Raw genomic sequence first — 13,378 nt, 5'->3', positions numbered from 1 at the left:
TCTAAAAAGGTTTTTTTTTTGTTTTGTTTTGTTTTTTGAGATGGAGTCTTGCTCTGTCACCCAGGCTGGAGTGCAGTAGCATGATCTCGGCTCACTGCAGCCTCTGCCTCCCGGATTCCAGCAATTCTCCTGTCTCAGCCTCTGGAGTAGCTGGGATTACAGGCGTCTGCCATCACGCCTGGCTAATTTTTTTGTATTTTTAGTACAGATAGGGTTTCACCATGTGGGCCAGGCTGGTCTTGAACTCCTGACCTCAGGTGATCCACCCGCCTCGGCCTCCCAAGGTGCTGGGATTACAGGTGTGAACCACTGCGCCCGGCCCTGAAAAGGTTTAACACACATTTTTCAAATAAACTTCATAGAAACAGTTGCTCTCAGGTTCAAGTCTGGGACTGGGAACAGGGCAGGGGGAGAGTTGCCCCCATTAGACCTCATACTACCAAGTCTCATATTCAGGCTTTACAGACACAACCCTAAAGCACTTGAAACACTTCTCTCTGTAACACTTTACTCTGCTGACCTCACTACCACATTCTGTGTAAAACACCACCAAATGGAAGGAGCACCATTATTTTATAAAGCTATTGAGAAAAACGCTGGCACGCCACAGACACATCTTCAGAGATGTTAACATGGGAAAAACCTGTGCGTTCTACAATTGGTAAACAGAATTAACTTTTTAATTGTTTAAACCTAATCTGACTTATCCATAAGGCTTTTTATTTTAAAAACATCTACAGGTCACTGAACCCTGCATTACAAACACAGCACCAGGCATAATTTCTACTCCTTATAACCTAGAAAAGAAGCTGTGATTACCCCCATTCCAGAGATGAGGGAACAGCCCAGAAAGATTACATGACTTAGCCTGGGACACGGTTAGTAAGTGGCAGAGCTGGGATTCATATCAGCTGTTTATGGCTCTAATAAACAAGAATGTTTTCTCTTGTACAACCTGTCTCTCCCAGAACCTTCTCAAAACGTAAAACTTATCTGTCACAGAGAAAGGACAGAAATTATGTTTTTTGATAATAAGATAAGTGAGTTACAAGTGGAGAAGAGATTTCTTTTTAAAAGAGATTTGTGGCCGGGCACGATGACTCATGCCTGTAATCCCAGCATTTTGGGAGGCCAAGGCGGGCAGAACACCTGAAGTCAGGAGTTCGAGACTAGCCTGGCCGACATGGTGAAACCCTGTCTCTACTAAAAATACAAAAATTAGCCGGGCATGGTGGCGTGTGCCTATAGTCCCAGCTACCCAGGAGGCTGAGGCAGGAGAATTGCTGGAACCCAGGAGGCAGAGGCTGCAGTGAGCCGAGATCGTGCCACTGCACTCCAGCCTGGGTGACAGAGCAAGATTCCATTTCAAAAAAAAAAAAAAGAGATTTGTAAAAAAGATGATTTGGAGGTAACCCAAGGGCTACAACTCCAAATGGCTATATTCCTCTTTGAATTTTTCATTTCGTAGATTCCATGAGACCTTTCTTTCCTTTCATGTGGTGCCTATTTGGTACTCATAATGCAAACTCCAATCCATAGATTTCCTGGGTATCCTTGAGCTCACCACAGCCTTGTTCCTTTTCAGTGTGCCAAGCAGAGAGGAGAGGCGGAGAATTAAACCGTTTATAACCATGACCACCAGGTGGCGCCAGCACACAGCTGGGCCCTGCTGGTGGCTGGTGGGCTCACTGGATGTTGCATCATGAATTTAAAAAGTACTGTCTTCTTACTGTTTTCACCTGTCCAATTACTCGTTTTTGAAGATATCTCCATATACATGAACATACAACACAAAAATATTAAAAATTATTGTAAGATCAGATTTCCAGGAAGCCAATGCATCTTAATGATAGTTTCTGGAAACAGCTTTGTCTAAAGGGTGACTTTTAGTAAAATAAATCCAATAGAATTATTACCAGCGTGAAAATACATAATCACAATTAAAAAATACATAAACTCTGTAATTTAAAAAAAGGCTAAATAGAAGCACACCAAAAATGTAAACAAGTTATATTTGAGTGGTGAAACTATGGGTAACTTTGTCTTTATTGTCTCTCTTTCCATATTTTCCAACTTTACTTTCACCATGATCTACTACTTAAAAAAATATACTATGAATAACACAAACTTTCTAAGAAAGAAATGCAAACTATATCATAATTGTATCACAAAGCATTTAGACAACATAACTGCACCATCCTAACCCTGTCGCTATGGTCATTTTGGCATATCTCCTTTCATTAAGCCTTTCTGGGCATCAGTGTGTGTGTGTGTGTGTGTGTGTGTGTGTGTGTGTGTGTGTGTTTGAGACAAGGTCTCGCTCTGTTGCCCAGGCTGGAGTGCAGTGGTGCAATCTCGGTTCACTGCAGCCTCTACCTCCCAGGCTCAAGCAATCCTCCCACCTCAGCCTCCCAAGTAGCTGGGACTACAGATGCGCACTGCCACACCTCGCTAATATTTTGTAGAGACGCGGTTTCACCATGTTGCCCAGGCTGTTCTCGAACTCCTGCGCTCAAGCAATCCATCCACCTTGGTCTCCTAAAATGCTGGGATTACAGGTGTGAGCCACTGTGCCGGGCTCAGTGGCTCAAAATAAAATTTTATTCTATTTTGAGACAGAGTCTTGCTCTGTCACCCAGGCTGGAGTGCAAGTGGTGTGATCTCGGTTCACTGCAACCTCTGCCTCCTGGGTTCAAGCGATTCTCCTGCCTCAACCTCCCAAGTAGCTGGGATTACAGGCACCCACCACCATGTCCGGCTAATTTTTTTGTATTTTTAGTAGAGATGGGGTTTCACCATGTTGGCCAGGCTGGTTTTGAACTCCTGACATCAGGCGATCCCCCTGCCTCAGCCTCCCAAAGTGCTGGGATTACAGGTGTGAGCCACCACGCCCAGCCTCTGCATCAGTTTTAAATTTACATTTATTTACATCATTTATAGCTGTCTTAAAAACTGGTGATAGTATTAGCAAATCCTGATTGCTCATGTGCTGTATTTGGCCTGGGGAGAAACCAGCAAACAGGACTCAATGGGTAACAGAATTAAGTATTAGGTTGGTGCAAAAGTAATTGTGGTTTTGGCCATACTTTTAATGGCAAAACCACAATTACTTTTGCACCAACCTAATACAAAGTAGGGAAATTTTTATTTGAAGATCTATGTATAGTTGTCGAAATGCTGTGTGAGTTCTTACCGTTTCCCACTAGGTGGCATCATTGTCCAGAAAATGAACCGGGAGGGAAGGCGGTAAGTAGATAGTGGCCTCCTAGAAGGAAGGTTCTCCTTGCAGGCTTCTGTCCCAATAAAAGTTCCTGCTCATTACTCTCCTCAGCTGCCCCCAGGGGCAGGATGTTCACAGCATATACCCAAACCGAGGACTAGGAATGTAGGGAACCACCGCACACCCCTCTGTGGATAACCCCAACAGGGACAAAACACACAAGCGTGGGCATGGGTGTGCATGGCCAGGAAGCTGAATCCAGATGCATCCAAAGAGCCCCTGAGAGCCACCTCAGACCTAAATCCTTCAGGCAAGCGCTGCAAGCCAGCTCTTTCTAGCTCAGGTGTTTCCCGTCTATTTCAGTCTGTTTCTAGAGTTGGTACAAGACAAAGGTCTTTAAACTCTGGTCTCCCTAGGAAGCCATGTGTCCTCTCTCACATGCTTTTTTTTTTTTTTTTTTTTTGAGACAGAGTCTTGCTCTGTCACCAGGCTGGAGTGCAGTCTCGACTCACTGCAACCTCCGCCTCCCAGGTTCAAGCAATTCTCTGGCCTCAGCCTCCCGAGTAGCTGGGACTACGTGCACCCGCCACCATGCCCAGCTAATTTTTGTATTTTTAGTAGAGACGGGGTTTCACCATGTTGGCCAGGATGGTCTCGATCTCTCGACCTCGTGATCTGCCCACCTCAACCTCCCAAAGTGCTGGGATACAGGCGTGAGCCACCGCGCCCGGCCTGCACTTTTTTTTTTTTTTTGAGATGGAGTCTCACTCTGTCACCCAGGCTGGAGTGCAGTGGCATGATCTCGGTAAAAATATAAAAATTAGCCAGGCGTGGTGGCACATGCCTATAATCCCAGCTACTCGGGAGGCTGAGGCAGGAGAATCGCTTGAACCTGGGAGGTGGAGGTTTCAGTGAGCCGAGATCGCACCACTGCACTCCATCCTGAGCGACAGAGGGAGACTCTGTCTCAAACAAAAATAAAATAAAATAAAAAATATTAGATAAATAAGTTTATTAAAATATTTTAATACAGTGTTAAAATGCTAAGAAGAAAAACTAAGAGAAAGTAGAAAAGAAATATAGAGGGGGTGAGCAGGTTAAACAGGATGTTTCCCAGGATGACCAGGGAAGGTGTCAATGAGAAAATGACTTTTTTTTGGAGACACAGTCTCACTGTGTCCCCCCAGGCTGGAGTGTAGTGGTGTGACCTCAGCTCACTGCAGCTTCTGCCTCCTGGGCTCACGGGATCTTCCCACCATGCCGGGCTAACTTTTGTATTTTTTGTAGAGATGGGGGTTTGCCATGTTACCCAGGCTGGTCTTGAGCTCCTGGACTAAGCAATCTGCCTGTCTGGGCCCCACAAAATGCTGGGATTACAGGTGTGAGGCACTGCGCCTGGCCTGAGAGCATGACTTTCACATTTTGAAAGAAGTGGGGAGCTGGACACGTTGATTGTGGGGAAGGACATTTTGGCCAAAGAAACACTAGTGTAGTATGCCTGGCATAGCACGTGTGAGGACCCACGGCAGGCCAGTGGGCTGCAGCAGAGAGGAGAATGAGGGTCTGTACGGATGGGTCAACAAATACTTTCTGAGCTCCTGAAAGTGGTGTGCTGCAGGCTACGAAAAATGTGAAGGTAAGTCAAGAGTCTCTGCAGGGCAATAGGAGAGAGAAAAGACTCTGGGACCTGGAATGTGCTTTCAGGTCCTTCTGAGCAATGGTATGTTTCTGAGGTCTTTGCAAGTAGGACAGGATTTGTCATTCTTGGGATAAGCCTTTCCTTACCCAAACTCTTCTTTTCCCACTGTTTGCTGGCATTAAGGGTGGCAAAAGACAGCCCTAAGGTTACCTTTATTTTTGTTCCTTTGGCATTTGCCTTTTTTTCTCTTCTGCATGGGTGCTTGAAGGAAAACATTTCTAAACCCTTGCAATTTGAACTGTTTTTAGGATATGTCTAGGTGAATGTCAATTTTCATTGAGTTTTATAGAATTCAAAGGAGCTCTTTCAATCCATAAATTCAAGTTTTTGTTTTTAGAGCCCATTTTAACTTTCTTAATTGCCTCTTTTCCTTCAGTTTGGTCTCTTCTTTAGAAACACTATTTGTAGAATGGTTTTTAATTTTTTTTCTCTGTATCTATCAGCGACTTTCTCATCACAGTTACAAATGGCACAAATGTGACTTGCCACAATGTCAACTCCAGTCTATACAAAGACGAATGGGCTGGGAGACATGAGTAAGAATTTCAAAGACGCTGAAGCTCAACAGCAGAAATGAACAGAAGGAACGATGCAGGTGGAAAACCATCACTGCCTGCTAAAACTAGTGGGTGAAAAATTGATGAGAAATAGGGCATTGGCATAGCCTTGGAGCCTCTCCCTACAAAACACTTATTAATTACAAAGGGAAAAATTGTTACCCTAGGGTGGAAACGTTTGTCAGATACCACCTAATCCAAACAGTTGATGCTAACATCACTAATACTGGGACAAAGGCAGACTGTAGGGCTACCTCCTGAAATGAGGTAACGAGGATGCAACTTTAGTGCAGTGACATTCTGGCCAAAAATGCACAATCTGAATCTAACCATGACGAAACATCAGACAAACCCAAACTAAGGGACATTCTACAAAACAGCTGGCCTGTACTTCTCAAAAAATGTGAAGGTCAAGAAAGACAAAGACAGGCTAAGGACCTCTGCTGGATTCGAGGGAACTAAAGAGACATGAGGGCTACATGTAATCCATGATGCCAGGTGGAACCTGGGACCAGGAGAAACACATGGGCTATCATGGACATTATTGGGACACGGCCAAAAGTTCAATCTATATTGTGAGTAAGATAATGACATGAAAAGTTAATGTTACTGGCTGGGTATGATGGCTCAAGCCTATGGTCCCAGCATTTTGGGAGGCCGAGGCAGGTGGATCATTTGAGGTCAGGAGTTTGAGACCAGCCTGGCCAACATGGCGAAATCCTGTGTCAACTAAAAATACAAAAATTAGCTGGGCGTGGTGGTGGGCACCTGTAATCCCAGCTACTCAGGAGGCTGAGGCAGGAGAATCACTTGAACCCAGGAGGCGGAGGCTGCAGTGAGCCGAGATCGTGCCGCTGCACTCCAGCCTGGGCGACAGAACGAGACGGTCTCAAAAAAAAAAAAAAAAAAAAAAGTAAATGTTACTTTCTTCATTTTGAGGACTGTACTGTGATTATTTAAGAGAATGCCTTTGTTCTTAGATAATATAGCTAAAATATTTAAGGGTAAAGGGTCACAATGTTTCCAAGTTACTCTCAAACTTTTCAGAAAAGAAAAAACAGAGAGAGAGAGAGAGAAAGAGAAGCACAAAGCCCAGGGGAAAAATGTGTGAATCTGGATAAAGGTTATATGGGAGTTCCTTGTATTATTCTTGAAACTTTTCTGGGAGTTAAAATAATACCCAAAAGTGGCCAGGCACGGTGGCTCATGCCTGTAATCCCAGCACTTTGGGAGGCCGAGGCGGGCAGATCACCTGAGGTCGGGAGTTCGAGACCAGCCTGACCAACATGGAGAAACCCTGTTTCTACTAAAAATACAAAATTAGCCGGGCATGCGGGCACATGCCTGTAATCCCAGCTACTAGGGAGGCTGAGACAGGAGAATCGCTTGAACCTGGGAGGCAAAGGTTGCGGTGAGCCAAGATCGCGTCATTGCACTCCAGCCTGGGTGACAAGAGCAATACTCCGTCTCAAAAAACAAAACAAAGCAAAACAAAACAAAAGTTATTACTGTGTATTAAGAATTACAATCAGTATTGAGGGTAGTACAGAGCACCAACAGGATATGCTATGGGTTTTGGAGTTTTCTGCATCTACACAGGTATACTGGTAAGAAGATGGAGAAGTTATGTAGAATTTTATTTAAAAAAATTTTTTTTTTCAGACAGGGTCTCAGTCACCCAGGCTGGAGTGCAGTGGCCTGATCATGGCTCACTGCAGCTTCAACTTCCTGGGCTCAAGCAATCCTCCTACCTCAGCCTCCCGAGTAGCTGGGACTGCAGGTATGTGCCACCATGCCCGGCTAATTTTTTTTATTTTTAGTAAAGGTGAGGTCGCACTATGTTGCCCAGGCTGGTCCCGAACTCCTGAGCTCAAGTGATCCTCCCACCTCAGATTCCCAAAGTGCTGGGATTACAGGTGTGAGTCACCGTGCCTGGCTGTATGTACAGTTGTAAAAGGGAAATTCCAATGAATATTTTTGAGAATTGGCATGTTAAGCAGCGTCAGGTTTCTCAGCTCAAAGCTGGGGCAGAGCTATTGATGTTCTTTCAGAGAGCATCCAGCACTGGCTCAGCAATCAATAATTTGACATGAAACTCTCCAGTTTGCTTCTGAGAGTGACCCAATTTGCAATGCTAAAACTGGGTGTTTACCATTACTAGTGCAGACAATGTCCCTATGCCAGTGGTTCTCAAAGCTCAGTCCCCAGACCAGCAGCATAAGCATCACCTGGAAACTTGTTAGAATGCAAATTCTCAGGCTCGACCTACCGCGACCCACTGAATCAAACTCTGCAAAGTGTGATTCACCCAGAGTTGAAATCATCCAGAGAGCTTTTAAAATTCCCAATGCTCGGCCAGGCGTGGTGGCTCACGCCTGTAATCCCAGCACTTTGGGAGGCCGAGGCGGGCACGTCACAAGGTCAGGAGATCGAGACTGTCCTGGCTAACATGGTGAAACCCCGTCTTTACTAAAAACACAAAAAATTAGCCGGGCGTGGTGGCGGGTGCCTGTAGTCCCAGCTACTCAGGAGGCTGAGGCAGGCGAATGGCGTGAATCCGGGAAGTGGAGCTTGCAGTGAGCCAAGATCGTGCCACTGCACTCCAGCCTGGGCGACAGAGGGAGACCCCATCTCAAAAAAAAAAAAAAAAAAAAAAAAAAAATCCCAGTGTTCAGGCCACACCTAAATTCCATCAGAAACTCTAGGGGTGGGGTTCAGCAATCTTTGTTTTAACAAGTTCCCCAGATGACTCCGATGCCTGCTCAAGAGACCCACCAACCGGATGATAAGGAAGATGCTGCCAGTGTCTAAACAGTATTGGTAGGGTCCTTCTAATACTGAGAAGACGACAACCAAGAGAAATTCTAATTTTGATCCTACTGAAGATGCTAAACTCTGACAGGAAGTACTTGGACACGAGACTGTTAACACTTGCAATAATTTATTTCTGTTTAGAGTATGTTCTACATTCTTGAATCTCAAATGCTAAACAAGATCAATAGGTCAGGATGTAGCCATGTGTTTGCTTTTACTATTTATTTATAATTCTCTTTCCTTCCCTTGCCCCATCAGTATTAGACTTGCCCCTACGTATTAGTCTGTTCTTGCATTGCTATAAAGAAATACCTGAGACTGGGTAATTTATAAAGAAAAGAGGTTTAATTGGCTCACAGTTAAGCAGGCTGTACAGAAAGCATGATGCTGGCACCTGCTCGGCTCCTGGGGAGGCCTCAGGAAACTTTTAATCATGGAGAAAGGTGAAGGGAAGCAGGCGCATCTTACTTGGTGGAGGAGGAACAAGACAGAAAGAGTGGGGGGAGGTCCTGCACACTTTTAAATGACCAGATCTTATAAAAACTTGCTCGCCATCACAAGAATGGCACCAGGAGATGGTGCTAAACCATTCATGAAGGACCACTCCCGTGATTCAGTCACCTTCCACCAGGCCCTACCTCTAACATTGGGGATTACAGTTAGACACAAGATTTGGGTGGGGATACAGATCCACACCATATCACCTTATGACTTGCTCTGACCAATGGAATATTAGTGGACATGAAATGAAGTGAAAGGAAGCTTTCAATCTGCTTCCCTTCTTTTGTATCTGCCACATGCCATGAGAAGGACATGACCTGGATAGCCACTGGTCCTGGGATAAGAGCCATGTGGAGAAGACCTGAACCTCCCCCTTAACAAGCTAAAACAGCCACTCCAAGTGACCCACAGGTCCATCAGTGGAAAAAGAAATGTTTACTAATGTAAGCCACTGAATTGTTTGTTACACAGCATTATGAAAGAAATAGTTGACTTGGGCTGGGTGTGGTGGCTCATGCCTGTATTCCCAGCACTTTGGGAGGCTAAGGCAGCCAGATTGGGTGAGCCCAGGAGTTTGAGACCAGCCTGGCAAACATGCCGAAACCCCGTCTCTATAAGAAATACAAAAAATTAGCTGGGCATGATGGTGCACACCTGTGGTTCCAGCTACTTGGGAGGCTGAGGTGGGAGGATCACTTGAGCCCAGGAGGTGGAGGTTGAAGTGAGCCAAGATTGTGCCACTGCACTCCAGCCTGGGTGACAGAGCAAGACCCTGTCTTAAAAAACAAAAAGAGAGAAATAGCTAACTTAAGACATAAAGTCTACAAAAATATTTTTTGAGAAATACAGAAAAGTATAAAGAATGATACCACACCCAAAACCTGCCATGTGGGATTGTTTTTATAGCTTTTAAATTTTGTTCTTTTTTTCTTAAATAAAACATCACAGAAAGTTAAATCCTCTTAAACACTCCACCAGTCTTATGCTCCTCCCCACTTCCCAAAGGCAGCTACCATTGAAATGTTCCCATTCTCCCTTAAAAATACATATGACCGGCCGGGCGCGGTGGCTCACGCCTGTAATCCCAGCACTTTGGGAGGCCGAGGCGGGCGGATCACGAGGTCAGGAGATCGAGACCATCCCGGCTAAAACGGTGAAACCCCGTCTCTACTAAAAATACAAAAAATTAGCCGGGCGTAGTGGCGGGCGCCTGTAGTCCCAGCTACTTGGGAGGCTGAGGCGGGAGAATGGCGTGAACCCGGGAGGCGGAGCTTGCAGTGAGCCGAGATCGTGCCACTGCACTCCAGCCTGGGCGACAGAGCGAGACTCCGTCTCAAAAAAAAAAAAAAAAAAAAAAAAAAAAAAAAAAAAAAAAAAAAATACATATGACCAGTAAACTCAGCACTTTGGGAGGCTGAGACAGAAGGATCACTTGAGCCTGGGAGGTCAAGACCAGCTTGGGCCATATAGTGGAACCCCATCTCTACAACAAATAATAAAAATAGCTGGATGTGGTGGTGCACACCTGTAGTCCTAGCTACTTGGGAGGCTGAGGAGGGAGGAATGCTTGAGTTTAGGCTGCAGTGAGCTATGATCATGCCACTGCACTACAGCCTAGGTGACAGAGTGAGATCCTGTCTCTCAACAAAGCACAAAAAACCAAAATCCGGGAGGCTGAGACAGGAGAATCTCTTGAACCCAGGAGGTGGAGGTTGCAGTGAGCTGAGATCATGTGCCATTGCACTCCTGCTTGGGTGACAAGAGTGAAACTCCGTCCTAAAACCAAAACCAAAACCAAAACCAAAACCAAAACTAAAACCAAAACAAACACATACACACAAAAACAAAACCCCAAAAATATGGATGTTAAAGGTGCTTCCGGTGAGGCTTCAGATGGAAATGGGGAACATGTTATTGGAACTAGTGGAAAGGCGATTCTTGTTACAAAGTGGGAAGAAACATGGCTGAGTTATTTTGTAGTGTTTTGTGAAAGGTAGAACTTGTGAGTGATGAATTTAGATATTCAGCACAAGTTATTTCTAAGCAAAGTGCTGAAGGTGTGGCTTGGTTTCTCCTTACTGCTTGTAGTAAAATGTGAGAAGTAAATTATTGTTAAGCAAAAAGGAACCAGAACTTGAAAATTTAGAAAATTCTCAGCCTAGCCTCATTGCAAAAAAATGAGAAGGTGTGTTCCTAAGAGAACACCAATGGTGTGGCTGGACGATCAGATAATGAGACTGGGGCTGTGAAGCATGGATTCAACCAACCACCTCAGCAGAAATACTGCCCTTTTGGATTAAAATGGACAAAGACAGGACAAAGGGAAGGAAGGCTGTCAGACTTCTACAGAATGGGCTACAGTGATGTGGCTGCAAACATTTGTTATCTTTCAAGAAGAGGGAAGAATGACCCCAAGAGGGGATTCACAAGGTGTGGCTGCCGCCCAGGGCCTCAGGGGCACAGCTCCCAGCTCCCATCCTGGTGGGCTGGAAGGACAGAGAATGAATGGTGCCAAAGAGGATTATTCTTGAGCATTAAATTGAATAGAACTCTGCTAGCAGACTGCCTTTAGACTTAGACTGTAACTCTTCCCTGCCAGTCTCCAGCCTGCCAGCTTACCCTCTTAAATCTTTCTCCCTCTACACATTCACACTCACTCACTCACTCGCTATATATACATACATCACCTTGGTTCTGTTTCCCTGGAGAACCCTAACACAGAACTGTCCTATATCTTTTTTATTTTTACTTTTCATACCAAGCTAAGCTGACTAGGAGAACTGTTCTATATCTTGATTGTGGTGAACTCATGTATGACTGCAAAAGTTTGTCAAAACTCACAGAACTATATACTCATGTGAATTTCACTATATGTAAATTATATCTTAAAAATGGGGAGGTTGGGCATGATGGCTCATGCCTGTAATCCTAGCACTTTTGGAGACTGAGGCAGGCGGATCACTTGAGGCCAGGAGTGCAAGGCCAGCCTGAGCAACATAGCGAGACCCTAACTCTAATTTTTTTTAAATGGGGGGAAAAGCGCACACGTATACAAATATATGCACAGGATGCTAACTTTAGCTTAAAAACTGGGGCCGGGTGAGGTGGCTCACGCCTGTAATTCCAGCACTTTGGGAGGCCAAGGCGGGCAGATCACCTGAGGTCAGGAGTTCAAGACCAGCCTGGCTATCATGGTGAAACCCCGTCTCTACTAAAAAAATACAAAAATTAGCCATGTGTGGTGGCAGGCGCCTGTAATCCCAGCTACTTGGGAGGCTGAGGCAGGGAGAATTGCTTGAACCCGGAGTGTGAAAGTTGCAGTGAGCTGAGATCGCACCACTGCACTCCAGCCTGGGCGACATAGTGAGACTCTGTCTCGGAGAAAAAAAAAAAAAAACTGGGCTAGGCGTGGTGGCTCGTGCCTGTAATCCCAGCACTTTGGGAGGCTGAGGTGCGCGGATCCCGTGAGGCCAGGAGTGCCAGACCAGCCTAGCCAACATGATGAAACCCCGTCTCTACTAAAAATACAAAAAAATTAGCTGGGCGTGGTGGTGAATACCTGTAATCCCAGGTACTCGGGAGGCTGAGGCAGGAGAATCTCTTGAACCCAGGAGGTGGAGGTTGCAGTGAGCTGAGTTTGTGCCACTGCACTCCAGCCTGGGCAACAGTGAGACTGTCTCAAAACAAACAAACAACTGGAAACCATCTATGTCTATCTATTTTTAAAATGTTTAAATAAAAGGCAACCAGGAAGAGAGAGGTGGCAAAGTTTCAAAGGTGGTAGATATTTCTGCCTTTGCACTAACCTCATCTAGATTTTTCTCTACACCTTCCTCTATCCCTCAACTCCTTACTCTCTAGGTCCCTTTTCTGATTCTGGATGCTCAGCCTAACAGCTAAAATTTGCATTAAAAAACCCCTGAATATCTGACCATTTTCCAAAAAGCTGGATTAAGTCACTCTAAAGTTTTGGAGAACTGCAACCATTTCCAAGTTATCTGGATTATTTGTCTCCTGGTCTCTGGGTCTCTGGCCCCATTTGCCTGTAACTCAGCAGAATTTATTAGGCATCTACCTGGACAGGAAGCATTTTGGTCATCAGAGAGCAAGTTATAAGTATACACACACACACACACACACACACACACACACTCCAGACTGAAATACTATTTAACAAAATGTTTGTGGGTTGTGGGATTATAGATCTTTTTCTGTGCTTTCTGGCATTTTCCCAAGAGTTCTACACAGTGCATGCATTACTTTTACGGTTTCAAAAAAAGATTTTTTAAAATTAAAAAACAGTTCTGAATGAAAAAAGGGGTTGGATCTTGGGTAAATGTGGGTAGAGAAGGGGTATTAACTTTTTACCAGACCATTCATTCTTCCATTCATTCAACAAATGCTCCCGAGCATTACAACAGGCGCTCAGATGCGATTCCTGTCTTCGTGTTGCTTATATTCTAGAGGGGCATATATGTGTTTTGCGTGGCTGGACACAGTGCTCCTGGGGGACACTGGAGGGAAGACAGGCACCTGGCATGTGGGGCCATGGTGAGGGGTCTGGATAATAATCTGCAAGTGATGAAA

The 13,378-nt window shown here is 45.0% G+C and overlaps 1 protein-coding gene across 2 annotated transcripts in view, besides 2 other annotated features; it reads right to left on the bottom strand.

Moving 5' to 3' along the window:
• TCF7L1 (transcription factor 7 like 1) overlaps nucleotides 1–13,378 on the bottom strand; it is a 176,996-nt gene that overhangs the window by 8,223 nt on the left and 155,395 nt on the right. The window lies entirely within an intron of this gene.
• Nucleotides 7,115–7,786: an enhancer, noted in NCBI's record as "H3K27ac-H3K4me1 hESC enhancer chr2:85521502-85522173 (GRCh37/hg19 assembly coordinates)". NCBI's record gives its function as "activates a minimal SCP1, AML or CMV promoter by ChIP-STARR-seq in naive H9 embryonic stem cells {active_cell/tissue: H9 hESC(naive)}" and the evidence as "EXISTENCE:reporter gene assay evidence [ECO:0000049][PMID:30033119]".
• Nucleotides 11,715–12,215: an enhancer, noted in NCBI's record as "H3K4me1 hESC enhancer chr2:85517073-85517573 (GRCh37/hg19 assembly coordinates)". NCBI's record gives its function as "activates a minimal SCP1, AML or CMV promoter by ChIP-STARR-seq in primed H9 embryonic stem cells {active_cell/tissue: H9 hESC(primed)}" and the evidence as "EXISTENCE:reporter gene assay evidence [ECO:0000049][PMID:30033119]".

The sequence above is a fragment of the Homo sapiens genome, chromosome 2 (genome assembly GCF_000001405.40).
Source record: "Homo sapiens chromosome 2, GRCh38.p14 Primary Assembly".
In the NCBI taxonomy this organism is placed as follows: Eukaryota; Metazoa; Chordata; class Mammalia; order Primates; family Hominidae; genus Homo; species Homo sapiens.
The sequence above is the reverse complement of the archived record's forward strand: the minus strand, read 5'-3'. Positions and strand labels throughout refer to the sequence as shown.